This window comes from Homo sapiens, chromosome 3, assembly GCF_000001405.40.
Source record: "Homo sapiens chromosome 3, GRCh38.p14 Primary Assembly".
NCBI classification, from domain to species: domain Eukaryota; kingdom Metazoa; phylum Chordata; class Mammalia; order Primates; family Hominidae; genus Homo; species Homo sapiens.
In genome coordinates, this window is record NC_000003.12 from 73,382,141 (window position 1) to 73,394,844 (window position 12,704).

The 12,704-nt window shown below is 44.4% G+C and overlaps 1 protein-coding gene across 6 annotated transcripts in view; it reads right to left on the minus strand.

Moving 5' to 3' along the window:
* Positions 291-12,704, minus strand: part of PDZRN3 (PDZ domain containing ring finger 3) — a 242,511-nt gene continuing 230,097 nt past the window's right edge. For all 6 annotated transcript variants that reach the window (XM_017005942.3, NM_015009.3, NM_001303139.2 and 3 more), the window contains 5 exons: positions 8,878-8,976; positions 7,676-7,738; positions 5,828-5,929; positions 3,529-3,645; positions 291-2,790 (listed from right to left, as the gene is read on the minus strand). In XM_017005942.3, coding sequence (XP_016861431.1) covers positions 1,225-2,790; positions 3,529-3,645; positions 5,828-5,929; positions 7,676-7,738; positions 8,878-8,976 — 1,947 coding nt within the window. In that variant the 3' untranslated portion in view covers positions 291-1,224. The remainder of the gene's footprint in view (positions 2,791-3,528; positions 3,646-5,827; positions 5,930-7,675; positions 7,739-8,877; positions 8,977-12,704) is intronic.

Genomic DNA, 12,704 nt, shown 5'->3' on the forward strand with positions numbered 1-12,704 from the left:
TGCAATAAACGAAAGAGATTTCACTGTAAACATGACCCTGATTGATTGATAAAGTTGCTCATAGCTATTCTTGTTTATAGGATATTGGGCCAGGCTGAAACTTCCTGTGAGACAGGCAGTGAGAATGCAGGGTTGTATTGTAAATTTGACCCTGTATTCTTCACTGCTAGACCTTCGCTTTATATCCATCATTAGGTTTGAGGCTGAATGTGAAGACATCAGATGGTCTAAAATACTTAAATCCTTCCAAAGTAGCATGTAATACAACCACAACCAAGGGAAAAAAAGCAAACACTGCAAAAGGCTTTTATTTTATAGGCACCACTGCAAAATGAGGAATCACATCAAAACATATCAAATAGAAAATAATAATTTATTTTAACTTCATTTTACTGTTTGTAACTAATCATGATTTTGTGAACTTGCCTGTATAAGTCTGTACCTTCAAATCTACAAAGCAAAAGTTTACTACAATGAGCACTTAAAATTCCACAAACCGTCTCCATCCACAACTTTCCTGTACATGCAAATTCTTTCAATGGGCTGCAATATTTGCAAACATGCTTTAAACTTCCATAAAGATGCAAGATATTTTGCTTTCTGCTAAAACCTTTACACTCTCTTGGGAACCTTAACCAGGAAAATGTTTAAATGTATATCCCAACTCTAAACGCTGCCGGTTTGGTTATATGTATTAAATCGTTAACCACCGGGTTGGGTGGTTTTGAGTTGAAACCTTCACCTAAATGATAATATCTTAACGGTCACGCATATGAAACACATTCAGTAACGTACCATTATAAAATAGGGTTCCATTAAAAATACATACTGGCAGTTGTATTTGTGTTTTAGGCAGGAAAAAAAGCGTGTTTAACTTTTTTATATGAATATAGTTTAAACAAGTTATTCTGTGAAAGTATGCTTAATAAAAGATCTTTCTGAAATTTAAACACTTTATGTAAAAGGGTACAGGTAGAAAAGTACAATTGCTATTTGAAAAAAGCTCTGTTTGTTAATATTGCCTTCCAAGATAGTAAGGGTGTTTTTCTCTCTCTTCCCTTAAAATAGACCTATGACACCCAGAGTTGTAGGGTTTGCAAATTTGGACTATAAACATGAAGACCGTACTTATCTTATATACAAAAACTTGCCGCATTGAACGAGGCAGGAATTTCTACCCCAGTGGTAGTGGTCTCCTTTATGTACATAATGCAGAAGTGAAAATTATACAGTAGTCACCGATAGGAAGGAATTGTATACTCTAGTGCCGTCCGGGGATTTTGTGCCGTGGGTTAAGAGTTCTTGGATCGTCATCCAGTTATCGAAGATTTTCTTATTCCTCTTCTTCATCATCTTTTTGTGGCTCAGTTCGAGAATGTTCATCTCCTTCCTGTCATCGGCTGCTTGCTGCTCCTTGAGACAATCCAACCTGCTCTGCATCATGAACTCGCGCCGCCGCCGCTGCTCCTTGGCCTTCACCAGGTGCTGCTTCCTCTCCTCCTTGCTCCAGTAGCGCCCCATCTTCATCTCGCTCACCGCGTCGTCGTCGGTGGTCATGCCGCTGCGCTCTTCCCGGATCTTCAGGGCGCGCTCCCGCAGCAGGCGGTCCCGCACGGGCCTCTTGGTGATGTAGCGCGTCCCGTCGCTGCGGATCTTCACCTTCCACTCCATGCGCGGCTCCGACGGGGTGGGAGAGCTCAGGTCCTTGCACATGCTCACCAGGCTCATCTGGCTTTGCGCGTACTCCACGGCCGACTTCTGCTGGATCAGCTGCATGTAGCTCTGGTAGTGCTGGGCGTGCGCCGGGATGTGCGCGTGCTTGTATGGGGAGTGGTGATAGGAGGGCAGGTAGGCGCTGCCCAGCTTCTGGCTGGGCGTGGGGCTCCGGCTCCCGTCGCTGGCTCTCCGCTCTTTGCTTTCCAGGGGCTGGTTGGGGTCCAGCTCCTTCAGGGACGGGCTATAGGTAGGGGTGCCCACTTCGGGATCTTCCGTGATGGAGAGCAGATTCTTGGAGGCTGGCCCGTAGGCTTCCGTGGTCCCCACAGCCCCTTCGCTGCTCGGGCAGCTGATGCCCTCCGCCGCTCTCCTCAAGGAGTTGTCGGGGGAGATCTCCAGGGTGAGCGGGGTGCTGCGGCAGCTCTCGCCTGTGTTGTAGGCGCTCGAGCTGTCCTTGTCGGATTTCTCCGGGAGCTCGGTGATATCTGAGAGCTCGTGTCTGCGCACGTCGATGCTGGTGTTGTAGTTGCGGAAGCCGCTGTTGTGCAGCATCCAGGACTCGCGGTACTGCTCCTTGAGCTGCTGCATCTTGTGGGCGCGCACGATGCTCAGGCACTCCAGCTCGATGCTGCGCAGCTCTTCGTTCAGCAGCTCCAGCTCCTTGTCCACGCTCTCAGGGTCACTCTTGCCGGCGTCCAGGGGGCCGCTAGGGTAGTACAGGCCGTAAGGGGTGGCGCTCTTCACCTGGCACTTGAGCTCCAGGAGCTCGCGGAAGCGCTCGCACTCGTCCACCGGGATCCCCAGGTAGTCGGCGTCCGTGCAGTCGGCCGAAATGAAAGACTCGTTGCTGAAGGGCAGGTCGCCGCTGCCCAAGGTGTCCTGGCTGCAGGTGAGCTTCCTCTGCCCCGCCAGCGGGTTGGAGGATGCGGTGGCGTCGTCGCCATTGTTCTCTTGCTCCGAGCTCTCGTCATTACGGGTGCTCTCGTCGGTCCGCCCCACACCGCTGTCCTTCTCGTGCTGGTTGGACAAGATGGTGGCTGTATCTGTGGTCCCACCGTCTTCGTCGTGCTTCTTCTGCATAAACACAAGAACAAAGGGTCACAGTGAGGGAGGCCTGCGCAGCAGGTACTCAGGTTTGACCTTTCCTTGCGGTTTCTGGATAGGGCAGGCTGTACATTTCTAAGGCCAAGGGACAGCATCTGACAGTAGGACCACGTCAATAGCGTGGGCCTTAGCTACACCTACCCGTATCTACCTGGGCAAGTCACTTATTCTTGTTCTTGTCCTCAGTTTTGTAAAATGAGGATAATAGTCACTTTATCTCAATGAATGATTCTCAATGATTCTGTTAAATGAATCAGTACACAGGTAGAAGGATGTATAAAGGTCCTTGTTCAACTCAATAAGGACTCAATAAGTGGCTCATTAAGACTCTGACAATGGTAGTAGCATAGCAGGGAGCTAGAGAGCTCCAAGCAGCTCCTGTTAAACAGAGGGGATTGCTTTACTTTGGAAAACATGGCTTTTTGCAATCTATGGTAATGCCAACGCATATGTTTTCCAAACAAATTATCAGAAGGTCAGCTTTGCTTTGGCAATGTTGCTTAGATTTAAAAGCTTAGCTAGGGACAGTACCAGCTTGCATTTCACTGGTCTGGTGCTCAAATAGAAAAGTACTTGAGGCTGTTTTCTTGCTGCCTTCCAGGTGGATGGACTTCTGATGGTCTTTAGCACCATAAAGGGAGATGGAGGAAGCAGATTTTCCTCCAGCTCAGCAGGGCAGAGTGTCAGGGACTGGTGCGTGGGCGTTACCTGCTGCAGCACGCTAGCTGTGAATTGCATGGCCTGGTGGTGCTGCTCCTCCAGCATGTCCATGTGCAGGTCATCCAGAAAGTCGTTCCTGTCATCATCCATCCAGCCCTCATCCAGCTGCAGGCAAGAGCAGCCAACACATGCCTTAGAAGTTTCCTTTCATGTTCATTTATGTTTTTTTAAAAATGACATTACCTTGGGGGAAAATATTTCTAGGGCTTCCTCCAAGAGTCATCAAAATGCAGTCTGCCCAATGATTTGCTGTTAAGTCAGGAAACTATCCAACCCTTACATTAAACAGACCTCCAACCCTACACTACATCTGGGGAAGTCTTTAATATCCATGATTTTTTTTTTTCAGGGTGAAACTCTTTCATCCATCTCAGCTACCTTCAGTGCAGTAGGACACCTGTGTAGGAGGGTCAGGTAGATTTAGCTGGTCCACCTGCTTGCTGGACCAGACACGAGTTTAACAGGTCCCATAGAAAAATGATTTTCAGTGTGAAAAGAGTTCTTTCTGATACAGTAACTAGCTGTTTGGCTTGGGCAAGATATCACTTTTTTTTTTTTTTTTTTTGAGACAGAATCTCACTCTGTCTCCCAGGCTGGAGTGCAGTGGCACGATCTAGGTTCACTGCAACCTCTGCCTCCCGAGTAGCTGGGATTACAGGCAATGCGCCACTATGCCCAGCTAATTTTGGTATTTTTAGTAGAGATTGGGTTTCACCATGTTGGCCAGGCTGGCCTCATCCTGACCTCAAGTGAACCTCCTGCCTCAGCCTCCCAACATGCTGGGATTATAGGCGTGAGCCACTGAGCCTGGCTGGATATCACTTTTAAGAGGCCTTTATCTGCCTTGCCCAAAAAAGAGTGAACTATTCAGAAGTTGGCACTCTATAGCCCATGGGCTGAATCCAGCCTGGTATTTTTATAAATAATAATAAAAAAAGTTGAATGAGAACACAGCCATGCTCATTCGCTGACATAATTGTCTATGGCTGCTTTTGCACTAGAGTGACAGTCTAGCAGTCATGGCAGAGATGGTATGGCCACCCAAGTCAAACATTTACTATCTGGCCCTTTAAGAAAAAGTCTGTGACTGTGGGTGAGATGATTGCTGAAGTTCCCTTTGAGCTCATGAGGCTCCCATCTGTGGAGAATCAGATGCCCCGTATGCCACTGTCTGTCTCTCGGCTTTTTCAATCGGGTTTCATACTGATATGGTTTGGCTGTCCCCACCCAAATCTCACCTTGAATTGTAGCTCCCATAAGTCCTACGTGTTGTGCGAGGGACCTCGTGGGAGATAATTGAATCATGGGGGCAGTTTTCCCCATACTGTTCTCATGGTAGTGAATAAGTCTCATGAGATCTGATAGTTTTATAAGGGGAAACCCCGTTTGCTTGGTTCTCATCTCTCTTCCCTGCTGCCACGTAAGACGTGCCTTTTGCCTTCCACCATGATTGTGAGGCCTCCCCAGCCATGTGGAACTGTGAGTCCATGAAACCTCTTTTTTCTTTATAAATTACCCAGTCTCGAGTATGTCTTTATCAGCAGCATGAAAACGGACTAATACACATACCTAAAGAGATCTACTACTGGATTGCCCTAGATGTGTTGCTGGAGCCATTCTAAGTGGATCAAGAGTGCCACCTGGGTGAGTTCATGATTCCTCCTGTGGAAGGAGTTATTACAACACAGAGGTTTCTGAATCAGATTACTTGGGCCTGAACCCCTCCCTGCTTTATCACCCTCCTTCTGGGCCTTTCCTGGGTAACTTTTGAATCTCTGGGAACTTCCATCTCCTGGGAAGGCTCTCCTGTGTGTAAAGTGCTCCACGGAGGGCCTAGCACTTATTCGGTGGTCATATCAGTTTTAATTATTTATCATTCAATGTTTCTTTTAATTTGAAAGAGCAAGTTTTAATTCCCCATACTCTGCTATTGTAAATGAAACCTGCACAGATCAAGGCTGGAACATATGTCAGGCCTTGGGAAGTCAAATGTCTTGACGTGACCCCGGTTGTGTTTTCCATTCAATTCTGTTTCCTTTTCCTTCCCTATGATCCCTGCATTAATGAACGTCGTGGGCCTGCAGTATAGATGCCAGGGTGGGCATCTAACCAACCTTAAATGGCTAACTCATAAAGTGAATTCTGAATCACAGCAAGTTTGATTACATTTCCAGGGAACAAAGCACCTTCAAGTTCGCAGCCAATACTCAGGTGCTCTTTTGCAGGCCTGGGGATCTTTTGATTTTAGAAATATAGACCCAGTTTCATCTGTAGGAAGCCAATTTACCTGGAGTTCAGGCCTTGCAATCAGCAATGAAAAGTTTTTATTTTCTTCACTGGTTAGAAGAGCCACAGCCTCTTCACGGTTCTGCACCTCTATCCCATTAATCTTTTAAAAAAAAAGGGGGGGTGGGGAGAGTGGGGAGACAAATAGCATGATTAGATGGTGCAAAATCATTCTATTTTATTTCAGACCTGCATTTGTCACCCACTCACAGTTAGAACATACAACTTCCGTGTAGCTGGAAAAGAATACTGATGTTAGGAAGGAAAGGTCTTGCTCAGACCAATGCAGTTTCTCTGGTCTATAAGGGAGCCTCCATGAGTATAGTTCATGAGGTGACTGTGATGTGTGGGGTGTGAACAGAAGGGGCTGGACCTCCAGAAGACGGCACTGAGAAAAATCATAATGCTCTGCAGAGGGAACATGGAAGCAATTAGACATAATATTCAGGCAGGAGTATATGTAGACATTATTGGATAATATAGAAGAAAAAGCAGCAAACTGAGGTTAAGAAAATGGAATAGAATTATACATGGTGTTTTGTGTCCCCAGTTTGACACTTAAACTTCTTTGGGCCAGGCGGAGGGTCAAGTGGGCGTGACACTCTCACTATCACACTTGATTAACCCTCTTGCAGGATTTTTGCTTGCATGTCCTGGTGACTTTGAGCCCTGCTGGTCTGGAGGTCTTAGTCCTGGTGGAACGCCGCCTCCAGGGGACACAGCAATGGTTCCACTGAATTGGAAGTGGAGGCTTCCATATGCCTCCTTACACTAGTGAGCCAACAGGCAGCAAAAGGGGTGACTCTATTGGTTGGAGTGATTGCCCTCAATTACCAAGGAAGATGGGCTTGCTGTGACACAGTGGAGGCAGGGAGGATTGTGTCTGGAACCTAGGGGATTCCTTGGAGTACCTCTGAGTGCTTCCATTCTCAGTAGTAAAGGTTAATGGAAAACTCCAGCAATCAAAAAAAAAAAAAAAAAAAAAAAAAAGAGGCAGTATGCTGAGGACCCTGACCCTTCAGGTGTGAAGGTTTGGGTCACTTCCCTAGGGCAAGCGATCCTGAGCAGCACAGGTTCTGGCTGAAGGCTAGAGAAACCCAGAGTAGGCAGTGGAAGAAGAAAATCAAAATGACCTGTGGTGAGGTATGCAATGAGAAAAACACAGTGGATTAAGAATGAGAGGATACGGATGAGAAGAGGTAGAAAGCTAAGCCTTGTGGACACAATGAAGCCAAGAATTTCAATTCTGTGAGATTAAAGAAGGTTGTAGCCAAAAGAGACATGAATGGTCTCATTTGGACTAGACGGAGCAACAGGGCTCGAGGTCAAGTAATGACCCTTAGAAGCGATTCCAGGATGGTTAGATGTTGAGTCAGAAAATTTCTAAGACTTTTCAATCGATGCTGCTAAATTTGCCAAAAATGTTCCCCTTTTATGGACGAGCCTCTGAAATGCTTGGTCCAAAGTTAATCTTTCAGAGAAATCTAAAACGAGAATTATTTTAGTTCACAAGTTGTAAACTGTTGGCCTGACTTTGGCTCACTGATGTTTGTTTTGATCCAAACAGAATGAAACAAAATAAGGAGAACTGGCTCAAATTTTGCAAGGCCCTCTTTGGAGAGAACATGCCCCATCTAGTTTGTCCCAGTCCTCACCACTCCCTCTTGCGTCTTATGACTCAGAGATAGCCTCACAATTAGTTTAACTTGTCTGGCCTCACTACACATCTGCGTTTGTGATCCCTGTTCTTTAACCGCTTCTGCATTTTCAACCCTAGACCTATCATTAGAACCAGTTTGTTCTTTAGTGATAGGCCCATCATGAGGCCATTGTTTGGAAGTGGACTTACCTGGATAATGCGGTCTCCTTCTCGGATGCGCCCATCCTTGGCTGCAATGCTGTTAGGGTCAATCTGAAACACACATGGACCATCTCAGCGCAAACGCAGACATGCATGAAAATAAGCAACAGCACTTTCAAAACCATTTCTAAAACACAGTCATGCTCACCCCTGTGTTTCTGTTTTGCACAGAAATAAACAAGACTTAGTGTCGTGCAAGGAGAGGCAAACATGAGCTGATCTGCTTCTAAGCCCTTTCTAGGGCTGGTTCTTGGATCCCTGTGTAGCAACCCTGTTACACAGCAGTGTGTGCAGGCTCTGCTGATCTGAGGAGGCACAGCTGACTTTTGTTGCATGCATGGTAATTAAAATCAAATCAATGATGTAGAACAGGTTAAAGGATACCCTTCATTATGTGGACTAGCAACTATACCTTATTTTATACCAAATACTTGTATTAAAATTTGGAAAATAACTTTAAAATTGAAATATAATTGGGACAAGGGGGACTGGTAAGGGGAGGGATGTCCCCAAATGCAGAAAGGATGGGTTAACTTAAGCTTGGTGAATGACATACAACCAAAGAGATAATTATTAAGTCTAGTAGATCATTCTGTAGCGACAAATTTTATTTCCTGACAAAATTGGGTTTCTGTGTTTGCAAGGATGGGTGTGCACTGTAAAGTTTCCATACTGAAATCAGTTGATTTGTATTATCTTCTCAAGGAAGATCAAAACAGCGTGCATCTATGTAGTTTGATAAGTACATACAAGTCACATTTAACTTATATGAAGTCAACTATATATACTCCACCAAGAGAAAAAAAAATGTGTGTGTGTGTGTGTGTGAGAGAGAGAGAGAGAGAGGCTTTAAAAAGTGTAAGTGATTCCATCCACCATTCCACTCAATGAACACGAGTTGGGAAATGTGAATCTGCTCTTCCCTTGGGGCTAAACACACAAAACCATGTAAACGGCTCCATTTTATGGCTGATTTGCAGGCTTCTCAAGGGTAATTTTGCCATAAGTACTGGCATTAGAACTTAACCTCCGTGGAAAGATGCAGCGCCATGGAGTGTGATGAGGGGGACAGAATAATTTGTGTCTTTCCAAAGAGATCTTGATGAGGTGGGTTAGGGTTGGTGAACATGAAAAAAAAAACCCTTTTGGTCTTGATACGATAGTTAGAAAAACAAAATCAGCCTTTGTACCTCACTGATATAAATCCCAATGTCGTCTTCATCGTCCGTCCGGTAGCACACAGTGAGGCCCAGCTTGTCCTGGCTGTTCATTCTGTAGAGGTCCACTTCCTAGACAAAGAAAGGCATTCCCAGTGAGACTCCAGCAGGCAATGCGAGTTGAGGGGATGTCAAATGCTTTAAAAATATTATCTTCAAATGAGGAACTGGATTTCTTTGCATTCAACTGTGTAGGGCCGGTTAACTTACTAAACAAAAAGTGATTATGGACACAGGATCAATGCCTACGGCATTTCTGACCTTTCACTCAATATAAAGTCATTTTGAAAATAGTTATTTCATTGATCCCCCAAAGAAAAATTACCCATATTTCACTCAGCGTCAAGACTTCTGGGGCAGGGCTTTTCAAAAACACTTTTTCAATGTCTGCCACAAACAAGAATATTTCCATACCCCAAACCACCCAGCCATTTCAGTACAAATGTTTCCAATGTGTTTGGTTAGATTATTTCACATTGCGTTCCCTTAATATTCACAGTCATAGAACTTGCAAACAGATTACACATAAATTGATCCAAGAAAGGAGGGTAATGTGATAGCGTGCAATTAATGTTCTCCACAACAGCTGTGATATTTACAGTTGAGAAATTAGTTTCAGCCGCTATTACTGCAAATTAAATAAGAGAAAAGCAAAGTGAGCCCAAATGTGGGATACATGCTATTGTATTTGCCAGTTAGTCTGTGCTTCAGAATGAAGTCAGAACTTTGGAAATTGTTGGAGCCTTAGGGTGCCATCCTAGGGCTCTCAGTGTAACCAGGCTAAGTCACTCCCCCGCCCACTCTGCCAATGACTTGTGCAAGTTTTTGTAGCTCCAAGCTGCAAGCCTATTTGAAGGGCCACGTGATAAGTTCTCCGGTAGATCCTTTGGTCTAATTTTTAGTGTTATCTGCTCACCAAGCAGGAGAATGGAGGGGCTCTGAGATGGGGTCTTCGTGCCACTTTATCTGGGGACTATTTCCAAGTGGTCTCTCTCAAGGGTCTTCTTAGCGGGGAAGGAGAATGCAGCTGTCTATGCGGAGAAGCTCAAAGCAGTTATTTGGAAGATACTTCTTGAACTTTCCCCGATGAAAGGCGGGTGCCAGGCGCCACGGACACTTCCCAGGTGGAGCAACAGCAGGTGCAAAAGCCCTAGGCCAGCATGGCCAGAGCCCCATGTTCAAGGAAGAGAGAAGTGGGCTGAGGGTGGCCAGGTGGCAGAGCTAGACCGGGCAGGGCCCACAGGCCAGCATGAGTAGCTAAGATTTTATTTCAACATAATGGGAACCCATCAAAAGGTTTTAAGTGAGGACTGCCATGATCTTAACGACTTTCAGCAGTCTGTCTTGCTGATATATGGGGTATAATGTGGTGGGGAAGAGTTGGAACTGTAAAGACAGATGTTCAGATCCCAACTCTCCCTCTTTCTAGCAGCTCGATCATGAGCTTGTTATTATATCTAAGGTCCGTGTCCTCACTAGTACCTGCCATCCTGCCTCCCAGAGTCACCAACATGAGGCACACAAGAGCTCTTAGCACATTGACTGCCCCATAGAAAGTCCACGGTCACCAGTAGTATAATAATTACATGCAGGTATGGTTACTTCCCTGAAGTCACAAGAAGTTGTTTGTGGCAGAGTGGGTATATTTCAGTGCCCCTCTTACTAAGATTATTTTCTGAACACCAATATGTTAATTAATTCAACAGCTTCCTAATTATAGCTCTAGCAATATGGTAAGTTCTTATTAAATGAAACCCCATTAATTTCTGATAATTAAGTGGGTTTAAGGGTCATATTTAACAATGAGAGCAAGCCTAAATACTTGGGTTTCCAAATACTTTGGAATAACCAATTTGCATACCACAAATATACTAGTCATACATCATCCTCTTATGTTTCCACAAATATACTAGTCATACATCATCCTCTTATGTTTCAAACACATCCCCCTGTCTCTCTTAGGGTACACTTCATTTGAATATGCATAAGAGGGAACACTTTTTCAGTTTTGACATTTCCTCAAGGTTAGTGTGAATCAACGAAATATCACGACGGTTTAGGTCCAACTGCACAGATGTAGCTCGCCCAGTGCTACCCCTGCAGGAGACACATCTTGCTGAAACAGGTCCACGTGCAACCCAAGCAGAGAGAGCGAGCAGTGGGAAGATTGTAGGAAGAAAAATGAGAAAGACAAGAAATGTTGATAATTCAAGTTGCAACTTTTTCTGAATGGCTGGCCGCCAAGGTGACTATCTTTCAAGGAAGTACAGAAGATTCTACAGTTCTACTGGACTTTCTACTACTACTACTACTACTACTGCTACTCAAAGCGTGCTTCCTGGTCATGACGAGGTGAGCACAGAAATTGAGGGAAGTGTTCAGAAACCTCTATAGCAGCTGGACATTGTCATGATAACCAAGGGCATGATTAGCAGACTTGTCTCACTGGACAAGGTGTAGACCAGTTCAGGTGTTGGTGAACGCGTCGCAGATGGGGTGAGTTACACAGTCACACACAGTAGGACCGTGTATTGGTTAGAGACAGACTGAAAAGTAAACAAACCAGCCAACCTGGTCCTTGTGGCTTTTCAGTACAGTCTGACAAGCACAACTCTGTAATACACTTCTAGATTTGAGTGTTCCATTTGAGAGGTGTAAGGTATGAGTATTTTCGTTCCTTGCTTGTATTTCTTGCTTGTATTCAAGCAAGAAAAAGACTCCTAAAGAATGTGATAGTGACGCTCTGTTATGTAGAAAACGATTAGATTTATTTGGCCTACTACCAAACATGTAGGTGGCCTGATATCACGAGATTTTAGAATACAGTTTTGATAAAACCTAACCTGAAAAGCATTTCTGTTCTATCTTTTGTCAGTATTTTGATTGACAGAGATTTGGAGGACTGTTAAGCTACAGAGTAGTTGACATTGTTCATGTTGCTAATCATGATTTTTCTGTACATTTTTCCTTCTGAATCTGTCAATTCCTCCAACAAATCTTTATGACTTTTTTTTTTAATCAGGGAGAAAACTTTCTTAGAACAAAGTTTCAGGCTGCAACAGAAGATATTCAAAACATTTATTGCTTTAAGATATTTTCATCTGAATCAAGAACCACTTACGCTTCCTTCCTTACACACTTTTTATACGTTGCCACTAACCTCACCTGTGTTTAGTAAATTAGTAATCGATTCTCCATAAATGCAGTTTGATATTTTTGCACGGGAGAGAAGAGGGTCCAATTAATAGTTCTGTTCCCAGTTAGTGTTCATTTTAGAACACATACTCCCTCACAATAGCAGAATGGCGTAGAGCCCAATGCTGCGTTTAGCCTTCAACACCCATCATAAATCCTCTCAGAACAAACCGTCATGGGGACAGTCACATTCTCAGCTGGATCTTTAAAACAGACATAAGAATGGCAGTGTTCTACTTCAAGGGCAGCACTCCAGGAGCAGTTTTCTATCTTAGAAGTGGTCTGTGTTATCAAAGGATGAGTGATATTGGATGAACAAATGCTGGTGAAGCACATTTCCAATAATAAAAAAGCAAAGGGTATTCTGGAGCTTACTCTAGGTATTTACTTGACGTGGATGTGAGACAGGATGGTGTGGGCTATAATATTTCCTTGCCTTATCTCTGGCCCTTCTTAGGAACTCTAAACAAAAGCTAGAAAAGCTTCATTTAGAAGGCACAGGATACCACTTAGCCTTGGTCATTTAATTTTCAAGGGATGGTTCAACATCACAGAGAAGAATCTGGTTGCTGACAGTTAAGCACAGAGTGATCCATAATAGGCTT